This window comes from Homo sapiens, chromosome 3, assembly GCF_000001405.40.
Source record: "Homo sapiens chromosome 3, GRCh38.p14 Primary Assembly".
In the NCBI taxonomy this organism is placed as follows: Eukaryota; Metazoa; Chordata; class Mammalia; order Primates; family Hominidae; genus Homo; species Homo sapiens.
In genome coordinates, this window is record NC_000003.12 from 116,424,030 (window position 1) to 116,438,849 (window position 14,820).

The 14,820-nt window shown below is 36.4% G+C and overlaps 1 protein-coding gene across 4 annotated transcripts in view; it reads right to left on the reverse strand.

Annotated features, from left to right (window-relative positions):
- Positions 1 to 14,820, reverse strand: part of LSAMP (limbic system associated membrane protein) — a 643,114-nt gene that overhangs the window by 621,656 nt on the left and 6,638 nt on the right. The gene's annotated exons all lie outside the window — the stretch shown is intronic.

A 14,820-nucleotide genomic window follows, 5' to 3' on the forward strand; every position in this document is an offset into this window, starting at 1 on the left:
CAAGCAATGTACTTTATTGGTTAGTTGAGAATGAGTCAGGGAATGTGTTTCACTCATGTCCTGTGGCCCTTTGACTTCAATTATCTTGTTAAAAAGTCTGAGCTTTATTTCCACTGTGTGTAGTGGGAATAATGTGCATGTCCTCCTTTCCTCCTTTACTCGGGTCTGGTGAGGACTAATTAGGCAATGTATGTGACATGTCTTTAGAAGTTTAGAGTGCTAGATAAACAGAATGCTTTTTTGAAGTGCCTGTACATTGTTGGTGCTGAATAAACATTAAATCACACTCAAGTTTTGAGGCTGAGCAAGAGAGAGCAGTTTATAGTTCATTGGGGAAATATTTCCATTTCATTCCAGTATTTCTAAGTTAGTGACAAAACACAAACAATTTTCCATAGTCGTACCTTCTCCAAGGGGCAATTATTGATGGAAAAAAAATCAAAGGAAGCTCTTACTAATGAAGGCTGAATGTTTTATAATCAATTGAGGGTCACAGGACAACCCAGAATACGGCAGTACATGGATAAAAAGTAGAATCCAGATAGATATGAGGCAGAAATTATAAAGAATACTTCTAGGTCTTACATAGAGACTTAGTCTTATACAGAAGAGAGGACATAGTGTGGATTAAATACCACATTACTTACCCAATAAATTCTACAGAACCTAGTAAGTGAAATGCAGTATTGAGAGTCTTGGAATGCCAGGCTTTCCATTTTTTCTGATCGATGGAGCTCTGTATGCAGCAAATAAGGCTGGGTGCCAGGTTTATACTCTACATATAAGGAAAACTTTGGGAGTGTGCCATTTTATTATAATTTCATTTATTCTGTATGCAGAATTCCATTTTTCTTTCCTTTCAACTAGATTAAATACTGTAAATCACAGCTTTATTGATAGGAAAGGAGGTATCTGCATTACTCTTAAAAATGCCATCTCCAAGAGGCCAACTTCACTAGAAGTTGAAGAAGGAAAAAAAAAAAAAAGAGAGTGGAGTTTGCCAAGCCAAATAAATTGTCTACCGTGCAGGGGCTGGGCATTTAGATCTGATGGTGCCTCTAAATCATAAAACATTTGTTAAGTCATCAACTCAGGAAATGCAATTATCACCCAAAATTAGCAAGAAAGTAGTTTTAAAACAATTGCTCACCTGTAACGAACAGCATAGTGAGGTTATATGCTCACCTTTGATATTTTCATTGACCCTTCATGTTTCACCATCCCCTATTTACTTATGACAAGGGAAAAATAGATCCTCTATTGTCAACCTTTACCTTTGGCCATGTAACCATAGAATGAGTCATTGCAACAAATATACTTCATTCTGTACATACCATTAAAAGAAATTATTGAGCACCTGCTACCTGTTCAACCCTGGCCCAGGCAACACGTGGAACATGGAAGATAAGGGTTAGTGGAAATAGTACTGATGCAAATATGGCTCTGCTAACAACTAGTTGTTTGACCATAGAAAAGTCATTTTTTCTTGGAGTTTTACCTCTTCTTCTTTAAAATGCAGAGAATGTGATATACTTGGGTGAGTATGTCAATAAAAATATTGATTGAAATGTTACTCAGACCAAGTTACTCCTGTAATCTCTAACCGTCTATGACTTAGGGAGCTTAAAATCTGGTTGAAGATACAGAACTAAAATGCAGAAAACTATCAGCAAACATAAGCACAAAATTGATACTGCCTATAAGTCCATAAATAATAAATAAATTAATTAATTAGAGGGGAAAACAATAAAGATGAAAAAATTAATGTTTTTTGAGAGGAGGATGGGCTTAAAAAGAGTAAAATTTAGGTAAATAGATGGGAAAAAAACCATACATCCTAAAGCAAAAAAAAAAAATTAATACACACAAAAGGAAAGATGGACTTGATATATCAGGAAACATTCCTAACAAAAAGAGAGGGTGAGTATGAGAGAGAGATACTTTAAGACCTGATGGTGCCTTTAAATTGAGGCTGATGCAACAAAAACTGGAGGCCAATTTTAGTTTATTGAGCAAAAATAGAAAAGAAAAAGAAACAGATGAAAAGGTAAGTTTAAAAAAGAATATAAATAGTTGTGAAAATCTAAAAGGCTAGACTATAAACTCCATCTCATTCACTGCTCATCACCAGTACTCAACTGAGTGCCTACCAGAAAGTAAGAACTCAACACATGAGGCCGGGCGCCATGGCTAACGCCTGTAATTTCAGCACTTTGGGAGACCGAGCCGGGTGGATCACTTGAGGTCAGGAGCTCAAGACCAGTCTGGCCAATATGGTGAAACCCCATCTCTACTAAAAATACAAAAACTAATCTCAGCTACTTGGGACGATGAGACAGCAGAATCACTTGAACCCGGGAGGTGGAGGTTGCAGTGAGCTGAGATCACGCCACTGCACTCCAGCCTGGGCAATAAAGGCGAAACTCCGTCTCAAAAAAAAAAAAAAAAAAAAAGAACTCAACACATGAAAAGACCGAGGTTGGTAATACAGTCATGCACTGATAAGGATTTGGAATAGAATGATAGCAGTGGGAATAAAAAAGCACCATTACTTAGAAACAGCTCATTAAATTTACCAAGTGTAAAGAAAAATAAAGGCAAAATAATTAATAATAAAACCCAAACAGCATTGCAGCACAATAGGGAAACCAAATCTGAAATGTGAATACATCATCTGTGGCTGCCTGTATCTTCTCTCTTTGTCCTGAACCCTGGGGCCATCATCTTACCATATTTCCTAACTCTGTAACAACATGGTGCTGTCAACAGCATAGTGAGGTTATACGTAATGGTAAAGAATTATAAGCCGAAGTAGACTATAGTATGGGGGAGTGTAATTATTATTATTAATACTAATCTGCCTCAAGGTTAAAAAAAAAAAAAGTCTGCCAAGAAACTTGAAAACAAAAATCTCCTGGGGTTTTTCTGGTAGCATACAACCTGAGACTGATTTATTCTATTTATTGTGTCCTCACTTCCTTATGAAATGCCTGCATTTCTATTAATTCTCTATCTTCGTTCATTCATTCATTTATTCATTCAAGTGTCATTGCAACCCTTAAGACTCAGCTCTTTCTTTCTTTTTTTTTTTTTTTTTTTTTTGAGACGGAGTCTCGCTCTGTCGCCCAGGCCGGACTGCGGACTGCAGTGGCGCAATCTCGGCTCACTGCAAGCTCCGCTTCCCGGGTTCACGCCATTCTCCTGCCTCAGCCTCCCGAGTAGCTGGGACTACAGGCGCCCACCACCGCGCCCGGCTAATTTTTTGTATTTTTAGTAGAGACGGGGTTTCACCTTGTTAGCCAGGATGGTCTCGATCTCCTGACCTCATGATCCACCCGCCTCGGCCTCCCAAAGTGCTGGGATTACAGGCGTGAGCCACCGCGCCCGGCCCAAGACTCAGCTCTTTCATTAAACATGTCCATAGAAACACATCAGCTCACGGCATTTTTTGAATAGCCATCAGAGCTACAATTAGAAACAAACTGTTTTTATTGTTACTTAATGTTTTATTTGTACAGGTTCCTTGAGGGACTAGAACATGTATAGATCCAGATTTTTGTGGGGCTTGCAATTTTTACAGTGTGAAGTCTTTCTCTTAAAAAAATAAATACAAAACGATAAATTAAAAATAAGAGCTATTTAGAGGTAAACCCTCGGAATGGCCCGTGCAAGTAAGGAGCTCCAAAGCTAAGCTTCCCTGTAAATCCACTTCTGTTGAACATTTATTTAATCCTCATAGAATTTCCAGCAGAGGGCTAGGCATACTAACTACCCATGTTACACACTCTCTCTCTTGGCAATTTCATCAAACTCACAGTTTAAACTATACCCTAATAGGAAAACAGCTGATGTTCCCAGGTAACTCAGAGCATTCTCTTAATCAGGTCCTCAGAGTCACTTGTCAATGGGCTCTACCTGAATACCTGATAGTCTTTCAAACTCAATTTAGTCAATGAAATTAATCTTACTTTGAAAATCTACCATTTCATTCCATATGTCTTTTTGTATTTGTTCCCCATCTTTGCCATGTATTTCCATTTACGCTCTACTTTATTTACTTAGGACTCTCCGTCTCTCTACCCTCCTGCCAGCCTTCTTATGTGAATTTCCTACCTATATTTGAACTGAACATATCATTACCTGGTCTAGAATTGTCTGCAAATTTCTTTATTAAGAAGATCTTTTTTTGAGAGGCCGAGGCAGGCAGATCATGAGGTCAAGAGATCAAGACCATCCTGGCCAACATGGTGAAACCCCGTCTCTACTAAAAATAGAAAAATTAGCTGGGCTTGGTGGTGTGGGCCTGTAGTCCCAGCTACTCAGGAGGCTGAGGCAGGAGAATTGCTTGAACCTGGGAGGGGGCGGTTGCAGTAAGCTGAGATTGCACCACTACACTCCAGCCTGGTGACAGATCTTTTGTCATCAAACTAATTTTCTTAACTGTTTTTAAGGAAATGTCCACTTTTTAAAAAACCTACCATGTATTTAGAAAAAAATGCATTTTTCATTATACAAGAGACTACACAGACTCAAAAAAGAGTAATACATTTATGTTTGAGATATGTAATGTCTACATATAATGCTTAGTGTGTATATGGAAGTTTGGAACCTTTGTACTAATCCTGGAGCTCCCCAGGAACCTATGGCTTGGGAACTGACTGCCTAAAGCTTTTCTCTTGGGACTAAAATTGAGTGAAACTGTACTTTATTTTCAAGAAATGAACTCTGACATATTTAGGACTTCATTAGATAATTCTTAGGATCCCTTGCATTATCTTTTAAGAAGCCCCATTTTTATTTTAATATCCATAGATGTTTCCACTGGGAATTTGTGACATTCTTGGGAATATTTTCAGCTTTACAGACAGATAACTAACTTTGGGATGGGGGTATTAGTGTTTTACTGAAATCCTGATATCTGATCCTTCCCTAATCTGTTAGTTCCTAAACTCTGTCTACCTTTTCACTCTTTTTGTAAGTCCTCAATTTTCTTTGTTTGGGCTTTCTGAGCTATTTCAAAACTGTTACCCAAAATGCTATATTATATATTTAACAGTTGCCTGGCCCCACAGACAAAGCTGTGCATAAATGCTTCTTTCACTGTAAATACTGCTAAGGCAATGATGAGGTAATTAGCTAAGTACATGTCAGCTCTACAGGAAAGAGACTGGTTTCATACTCTGATAATTGCTGTTTAAAAGTTTTAACAGTTGCACTTTTAGGTAAATTAAAGTCACTTTACAAAAAGAGATAAAATAGTGAACCATGCATACAAATAGTAAGAAAGCAAAATACTGGTGTTGGAGAAAGAAATTGGGTTCAGCAAGAGGTGGAGATATATTCAGTAAAATAATTGACAGATGACTGCCATTTGTTGGTTGACCTCATATTTTGTGGAAGAAAAGTGGTTTTTTTTAATTATAAGAACAGAAAACCAGAAATGCAAATTATTTTGCTTCATTATTGCTGATGAGTGCACTTGATATGAAAAGTAAAGAAGTCACACAAACAAAGCATTCCTCAATTTAGAAATAACAGATTTACTTATAGGCAAATAATGTCTACATACGACCACCGCCACTACATTCTACTGAGATCATCTCTGATGATACTGTGGGAATCAGTAGAGAGAAGGATTACATCAGATATCTAGGGAGATGGCTGAGTTCCGGCAGGGTTCAGAGGGAGCAAAAATTGCAGAGGGTCAAGGCCTGGGATAACACAGGCCTTGGAGTAGGAAGACAGCCAATATGAGACATGGATTTGCAGACGACATCATGTTTTACTCTTTGGGGGAGTAAAGAGTTTGAACCATATTGACCAAGAGGTTGACAACAGGTAAAGATATCATGGTTAATATAAGAGACCCTGTTTTCATAATTTCCTAATTCAGATGGTAGCAAAATGTTCAGTTAGAAATGAGATATACAGTGGGAATTAAAACTGTAGTGTAGACTTCAGGCAAAAGTATATCAACACGTGTGGCAAAGTAATAGAGGGAATTAGAAGACGTAAGAGATGAGGTCAGCATTTGACCTGATTAATCTTATGCATGTGTATGAAGCTGGCTGATGTTAAAAGTAACTCTCTGAGACCAGATTTGTCTTGATACTGCTCTACCCAGAAAGATGAAAGGCCTAAATAGATCTTCAGTCTTAATGATATACAGTCCCTCTCTTTTGATATGTTTGCAAATTCTCCAGTGGGAAGAAAATAATAGAGGCATGAATATTAAAACACACTGAAAATTATTAGAGAACATATTTCCAAATGAAATTCTTCATAAGCAAAGTAATAATAGAATTCCATTAAAAAAATCCAAAATAAACTAGAGAGGGAATTCAGAATATCACATAATTATGAAATATAAGTACTAGCAGAGACCTGAGAAATCACCCATTTCAATCTTCTACTCCATAAAGATGTTTTTATTTTTGTTTTTATTTTAATAATATTTCCTAATAGAGGTCTACTTAAATACTAAAATAGATGAAAATGTAGTTCCTTAACAGGAAAGCCATTCCATTTGGCAGAAGAGAAACTTGACATTTACAAAATAAATACACCTATATCCAAAGATATGCCTAAATATAATTATAGATACTTCTAATTCCTTCTTATAATGAACTTCTTAGGTGAGAAGTTTAATATCATTATTATAATTTTTATTTTATAAAGAACCAGAGGCTTAGTAGGGATAAATAATTTATCAATGTTTGCAGAGCTGGTAATTGATAGGGGGATACTTAGAGCTAGGTCTTCTGGCCCAGAAACTGTGTTATTTCTACTATGCCATTTGAATGGTCATTTTTATGTCATTCAACTAGATTTGCTTATTTAATTAAATTATGTCCTATTTAAATTATAAACTACCATATTTTTTCTTTCTTTCTGTTTTTCATCTTCCTTTCTTCTTTTTTGAATGAGATTTGGTATAATCACAAATACACATAAATAACTTTTTTTTAACATTAACTAAAATTTTCTTCCCTATAGTTTTCATCCATATTTACCTTATAATTCCATCAACAAACACCTCAGCTATCCCCTTATCTTTGTCTCATACACATGATGGAAAATTTGCTTCCTATGGTTTTATCCAAGTGTTGATCCTGGCCTGAGAGAGAATGAGAGAGACCTCTATCACTATCAATCAGTATTATTTTGGCGTAATTGCTTGAGAAAAAAAAATCTAGCTCATTTTTGACCCATAATATATTAATAAGTCTATTGGAAGCCTGTTGAAGTACAGATACTCAAAGTAAATGGCATTTCCTTGATCCAACAGCCTGGAATTATATTTGCTCATTTAAAAAAAATCTATTTGCCACGCTATACTTTGTTCCCAGGGAACACATGTTGGCTTCTAGTGATCACTGCTTTCTTTTCAAAATCTATTTAACACTACATTCTAGCACGTAGGCTTTTGGTGGGTAGAGTGATTTAATATGATTTTCCCCTTGTAGTTATAATTAGGACAATATTTTACATCACCATTATGAAACTGTTTCTGTTTTCTACAGATTTTCTAATGTTAGTAATAGTGTTTGTATAATTATGCTCTCAAGTTATATTAGTGCCCTGGATATAATGCATATCAGTCTTACAGCTGAACTTGTTTATATTATTCTAATCACGTCTTCATATGCCCTGGATTTTAAAAATTGCAAAGGGTATAATAGCATAATTTTGAGAATTTCACTTGGTAAACATTATTCTTCTCTTCCAGTGGACACCAGTCATCTTCATTAAGCATGCTCATTAACAAATCACTAGATCTCTTTGTGACTTTGAAAGAAAATAGAAATTTAGTATGGACTTGGAATCACAAATTCAAAGAATTAAATTATATTTTTAAAAAATACAGTTATTTTTCCTTCAGCTAAGGCAGCATTAATTTTTGTCCTATAATAGCAAATAGAAAAAGAAAGTGTTAGATTTCCTTTTGCTTTTTATGAACTATATGATTGCCAAGATCTAATAGAAACAAAAAACATTGTCTGACTCCCCTTACAATATAATCTTAGCACCTTGCATGATTAATTAAAAATAAAACATACTAATCAAAAAAATTACGGTAGCCATTGTGTGATGCCTCTTATATATCGTATCTGTTTACATGCTTGATACCCTTAAAAATTTGGTTTTCTGTATAAGTGATGCAACAAATTAATTAGGTTCCTATTAAAGTGTGACGTGACCCAAGTTCAAAGTAATATTCATGTCCATATTTTGTGTACGTAAATTTTATGTACATATAAAAATCACATTTATGCTTTTACTTTTTTACATATAATTATAAATATATACAAAAATAAAAATAAAGTTAAGGTCTTGTATTCAAATACAGTCACACTATATAGATTAAATATATTCATGATACAAATTAATTATACTTCATAACAGATCCTGTACAAATACATACTCTTAGAAGAATTAGATTTTGAGTTCTGTTTTATTTTTATGCAAGAATGAAGGCATTAATGTAAACATATTTTTAAAGTTTTCTATATTATGATATTTATAATATAATTTAGGATTTTTTAAAAAAATTGTGCATATTATCATTCTATCTATAACTTCTGGCATTTCTTCTTCTTGTGAATGTAGCTATATTCAAAAACGTAAAGCCACTTCACCAGACCAACATCTTTGCTTATAAGACAAGTAGGAGTTGGAACAATGGAAGCTAATTCCCAACTTTACACAGTAATGGTTTTTGCAGAACTAAAGGCTAAATTTTTTCATGCCCAATCTAGAGGTTTATCCAATCAAGTAATATCTTGTAGTCTTTAAGCAGTTGATTGTTGTGGTGATGATCAGTGCATCATATTAGTGCCAAAAGAGATAGAACAGAGGTCAGAAAGAGAGACAAAGAAAAAAATCCATTCTCCTGCTAAGTTAATGATTCAGCAATATAGAATGCTGATCTTTAGATATGCTTATACAATTACATCATGAACTTGTATAAGGTGACAGCGATCTTTAGTTATCTCAAAACAAACACCAGCTACAAATTGGCAACCATATGTGGCTTACGTCTCACAAAATGAACAGCCCTAACACACATATGCTAGAGTGAGGTGTGTGTAATGACACAAAACAATCAGAAGTCAGGAAACAAATTATGTTCCCCAGTCATTGTTTTCACATGTAGATACTTACTATGCATGACTTAGTGTTAGGCTGCATCACTTTATTTTTTTAATATTTTGTTTCTAGTAGGATAGGGTGGCAAATAGTAGCATAACTAAAGTACAACTTTAGAAAGGATAGAATTAATTTTAGACAAATTATAGAGATTCAATATAGAGATGCATCATTAGACAATTACAATAGAATAAACAGTAATGCATTATTTTATGGAAAGCTAGGTTGCATTTTTCCTCATGGTTATTGGTTTCCCTCCTATCTCACATAAATAATACCCTTGTACATTAGGGAAAGATATACAGAAGGAAATTTGGGATTATTGCAAACTCCACTGAACATTCCAGCGTTAATTTTTCCAGGAATGTGTAATGAGCTCTAAGATGCAATGCCCAGGTAAGCATCACTATCAGTATGAATAACCAGTTTTAGTCAAATAAATGTAAGTGATATGCACATTGCCTCATTTCAAAAGAAACTAGAATGGATCGGTGGAGATGAATATACCTGTTGCACACAATCCTGCTATTTAAGTAACTCCCAAATCCCCTATTTAATCCCTGAAAATTCACAGTCACCCCTAGAGGGAGAAAGCCACCTAGCTCTCCAGGAAGGTAGATTCCTTCTTCTCAGAGCTACCCAGGATACTGACCTCTTCACAGATATCTCACTTCAGGGCCATTGAGTGATTCCTTGTTCTGTCAGAAACTACTATTTTACCTAAGAAAGGGGCATGCTTTGTCTAGGTCCCTATGTCTGTAACTCTGAAGCTTTGGGATCCTTCCCAAAATACCCCCATTTGCCCTTCTCATTTTCCAAAAAAATAAAATTCCTGAAAAGAATAACTGCAATGGGAAATATTGAAGGTATTTCTAACCAAATCTCTTTACCGTACCAATAATCAGAGAATTATCTATCTCTGATTTTATGACTAGACCCTCTTCAACCCCACATCCACAATTACTCCAGTGGTGGCTGACTTCACCAAAATATCTTCCTTCAGTCTGATCTTCTTCTAATGTGTTTCCTCTTTTATAAATCAACTTTAGTCAGCTTGATTTATAGTACAACCATCTTTCTCTGTTCAATTCAGTAGGCAAATATTTATTTGAGCATCCACGGGTACTGAGCTAAATTCTGGGATGAAAAGGTAAAGCAAATGAAATGCCTATATTTCAGGCAAGACACAAGTAAACAAGATGTTTTTAAGACATGTAGTAAATGCAAAGTTTAAAGTATTCAGAGAGGCTAGTGGTGATAATAAACAGGATACTTAGCTTAGCTTGGGACAATTTAGGAGGATTTCCTGAATGCGCCAGAACTGAGACTTAAGTCTTGAAGGAGGAGCAAAGAGGTAACTAGTAAAGATGTTTGGTGGAGTGAGGGGTAGAAGGAGAAGGAGTCTTGCTCTGTTGCTAGACTGGAGTGCAGTGGCGCGATCTCGGCTCACTGAAACTCTGCCTCCCAGGTTCAAGCCATTCTCCTGCCTCGGCCTCTGAGTAGCTAGGGCTACAGGCGTGCACCACCAGGCCCAGCCAATTTTTGTATTTTTAGTAGAGACAGGGTGCCACCACATTGGCCAGGATGGTCTCGATCTCTTGACCTTGTGATCCGCCAGCCTCAGCCTCCCAAAGTGTTGGGATTACAGCGTGAGCCACTGCGCTCGGCCGGGGCTTTGACTTTATGCTGTGGATGTTCTTTGAAGGATCGAGTGACATTTTTAGATGAATACTGGAAAACAACAGGCCTTGCATAGGTCATCTCAGGTCCTTCATTCTGCCAACTCCATGAAGTCTGGAAGTTCTAAGTAGACTGAAGATGTGATCTGGTAAACTTAACCAAAGCAGGAAGAAGCACTAGTTCAGTTCTTACTTAATGTCAGACCTTTGTCTCCATCTTTTCCCCACAGAGCTAGACCAGGTTTTATGATCTGAGATTATACAGTAAGAGTTTTAAAAGATAGAGCTCCGTGCTCTGAGATTAACCTTCAAGTCATCCCTGGGTTACTATAGCTTTGGTACAGAGCTTCAGCTCTAAAAACTGGGACCCTCTCTTTTACTCCTTAACTAGGTTACCCATCTTGGTAATGTGCTCAGGTCTAAGTCCCTAATTCCTGAGGACTCAAGTTCAAGTCAGCTCTTGTCCCAAGGACTCTGTTCCTTTCCTGAACTCCTGGGGCTTGTAACTGAGTCTTCACCATCAGCTGATAACCTCCGTGTCACCCCTGCCTGCCTCCCTATGGGACTACCTAGGGGGTGCTGGCCTGTTATTTCTCCTTATTCTGCTTTGTCCTTCTCTTGATAAGACCTTGTTGGATATCTCTGCCTCCACCTCTCACTCTCACTGCTCAGAAAACCTCAAGAGATCTTGTCCTGCGTGCCACACCAGAAACCACTAGACACCTGCAAAAGGGCTTTTTGCACACTGTCTTCACCACTCAGGAGCCAGAGCTGGATCTATACCCAGTTCCTCCCAATTGGCCACCATCAGCTTCATTGTTAGCCCAAGGTAAATTTTGTATCTATTGGGGGAAAAAAGTTCTGCCTTCCTCAAAGGATCTTAAATAATAAATCTACAAGGACTATAATGAGTAGAGAACCTCTTGAGGGTGTTCAAAGAATATCTACATCCATCCTAATCAGGGTCCCTCTGAGAGGGACAGTGGTAGGAAACTTAACCAGGCAGAAGTTCATAAATAACAATAAGAAGGCAGCAGGTTTAGAAACTCGGCTGTAGTAAATGGGAGAAAGGGTCAAATTCAGATGAGAAGACTGAGTAACAGGCAGAGGTACCAGAAAAAAAGAGGAAAAGAATTTTCTTAAAAGGGGGCCGGGGTTGTGAGGAACAAGTGATCCTTATAGAGGTTCTACCAAATGCAAAAACAGCTTTGGGAATGATCGTTGACAAAGCAAACAAAAACGTAAAGTGGGGAAAGGACACCCTTTTCAGCAAATGGTCCTGGGATAACTGGCTAGAATGAAACTGGATCTTCATCTCTCAACTTATACAAAAATCAACTCAAGATGGATTAAGGACTTAAACTTAAGACCTGAAGCTACAAAAATTCTAGAAGGTGACATTGGAAAAACCTTTCCAGACATTGGCTTAGGCAAGGATTTTATGACCCAAAACCCAAAAGCAATTGCAATAAAAACAAAGATAAATAGCTGGGACCTAATTAAGCCAAAGAGCTTTGCACAGCAAAAGGAACAGTCAGCAGAGCAAACAGACAACCCACAGACTGGGAGAAAATCTTCACAATCTATACATCTGACAAAGGACTGATATCTAGAATCTACAGTGACCTCAAACAAATCAGTAAGAAAAAATCCCATCAAAAAGTGGGCTAAGGATGTGAATAGACAATTCTCAAAAGAAGATATACAAATGGCCAACAAACATATGAAAGAATGCTCAACATTACTAATGAAAATCAAAACTACAATGTGATACCACCTTACTCCTCCAAGAATGGCCATACTCAAAGAATCAAAACACAATAGACGCTGGCATGGATGCAGCAATCAGGGAACACTTCTACACTGCTGGTGGGAATGTAAACTAGTACAGCCACTATGGAAAACAGTGTGGAGATTCCTTAAAGAACTAAAACTAGAACTACCATTTGATCCAGCAATCCCATTACTGGATATCTGCCCAGAGGAAAAGAAGTCATTATTCGAAAAAGATACTTGCACACGCATGTTTCATGCATGTTTATAGCAGCACAATTCACAACTGCAAAATTGTGAAGCCAACCCAAATGCCCATTAATCAACAAGTAGATAAAGAAAGTGTGGCATATATATATATGCATATATATATATGTGTATATATATGTGTGTGTATATATATATATGTGTATATATATATATACACACACACAATGGAATACTAAGCCATAAAAAGGAATGAATTAACAGCATTTGCAATGACCTGGATGAGACTGGAGACTATTATTCTAAATGAAGTAACTCAGGAATGTAAAACCAAACATCATATGTTCTCACTGATATGTGGGAGCTAAGCTATGAGGACACAAAGGCATAAGAATGATACAATAGACTTTGGGGACTTGGGGGAAGGGGGGCGAGGAATAAAAGACAACAAATATGGTGCAGTGTATACTGCTCGGGTGATGGGTGCAGCAGGATCTCACAAATCACCACTAAAGAAGTTACTCATGTAAGCAAATACCACCTGTATCCCAATAACTTATGGAAAAAAAAATAATAAAAACCAATAAGCTGGAAGCTGCAAGTGGAGGAAGGAAAACCCATGTGGTACAGACAGATAGTAGACATGTGCAAGATGGGACATTTCCTTGAAACAAATCCTCCTTGACCAGCACTAACTGGATGATCCTCCACAGGTAAATGCAGATTTGATTTACAGGGAGAAGAGAGAGGGAAAAGGGGAGAGGAAGGAGAGAGGAGAAGGGAGGAGAGAAGGCAAGAGGGAAGAATTGGAGGGAGGAGGAAGGGAGAGAAGGGAAGGGGAGAGGAGAGAAAAGGAGAGGAAGGAAGAGGAGAGAAAGACAATTTTAAGGATACATTTATGTATAATAAAAATGGCATTTCATCAGATAAAATGAAAACCAAAAAGGTAATCTCAGTGGTACTGTGAAATGAAAATTAAAATACATGAGTTCTAATTCTCAATTGATCACTCAAGTTTTTGGATAACGAACTAAATTTTTCTCTTCTCAGTTAAAACACTTTAAAATGAGATGGTGGACTGCCTAATCTCCAAGGCCTTTCCTATTCTACATATCTATGAGGTTTTCCTACAGTAATTAACAAAATCTGAAGTAAAGTGTTTTATTTTGTAAAGGTTAATCACACATTAACTGGAGATTAAGTTTTAATTACAGGTAACTACAAAAAAAAAAAAAAAAAGTCTACTTGCCCTGCACTCCTGATAAGAAACTCAACTATATCGTAAGATACTTGTGACTTTAAAGGACTTGAAATGACATAATAAAAACATCGTAGTGCAAATGGCCTGTGTATAGCATAGAAATAAGAATAAAAGGCTTGTTTTCTTACATTTTTAAAATTTTCTAAAAGTTATATCCTGCTGTAAATATATGACTATAGTCTTAAGAGTTTATAGTTTATACCATTATAGAGTTTATACAATACTTTGATACATACAATATCATTTGATCATAAAAATAGCTTGTGTAGTAGGCAAAAATAGTTGTCAGTTATCTTTATTTAATAAATTACAGTATTTCATGCTATTAAGAGGTTGATCTTCTGACTACTTGTTGACCATTTTGAACTTATTACATCCTTTATGAAAAGTCTTTATCTATGACATAGGCTTTTCTATAAGTTTCAACTAAAGAGAAATCACTATATAAAATTGAGATGAATTATACAATTATTTAGCAAATCACATGTTCATATATATAAGTGCACAGAATTTACTGTGCTTGAATATGTTGGCACAGAAGCCAGTTTCCTTGTCTAAATATTGTCTGTTTTCTCCCTTAGTGATAGCATTAGAAGCAACAACAAAAACAACTTAGAACAGTTCTGTACCTTGTCTAACCCAAATGAGAGACAGCACAGAATAATAAGCTTTATGTTATTTCCATAGACGTTATGTAAATCTGATCCATATTAAATAAAGTCACCCCATTTTCCATGGCTCATAAGGATG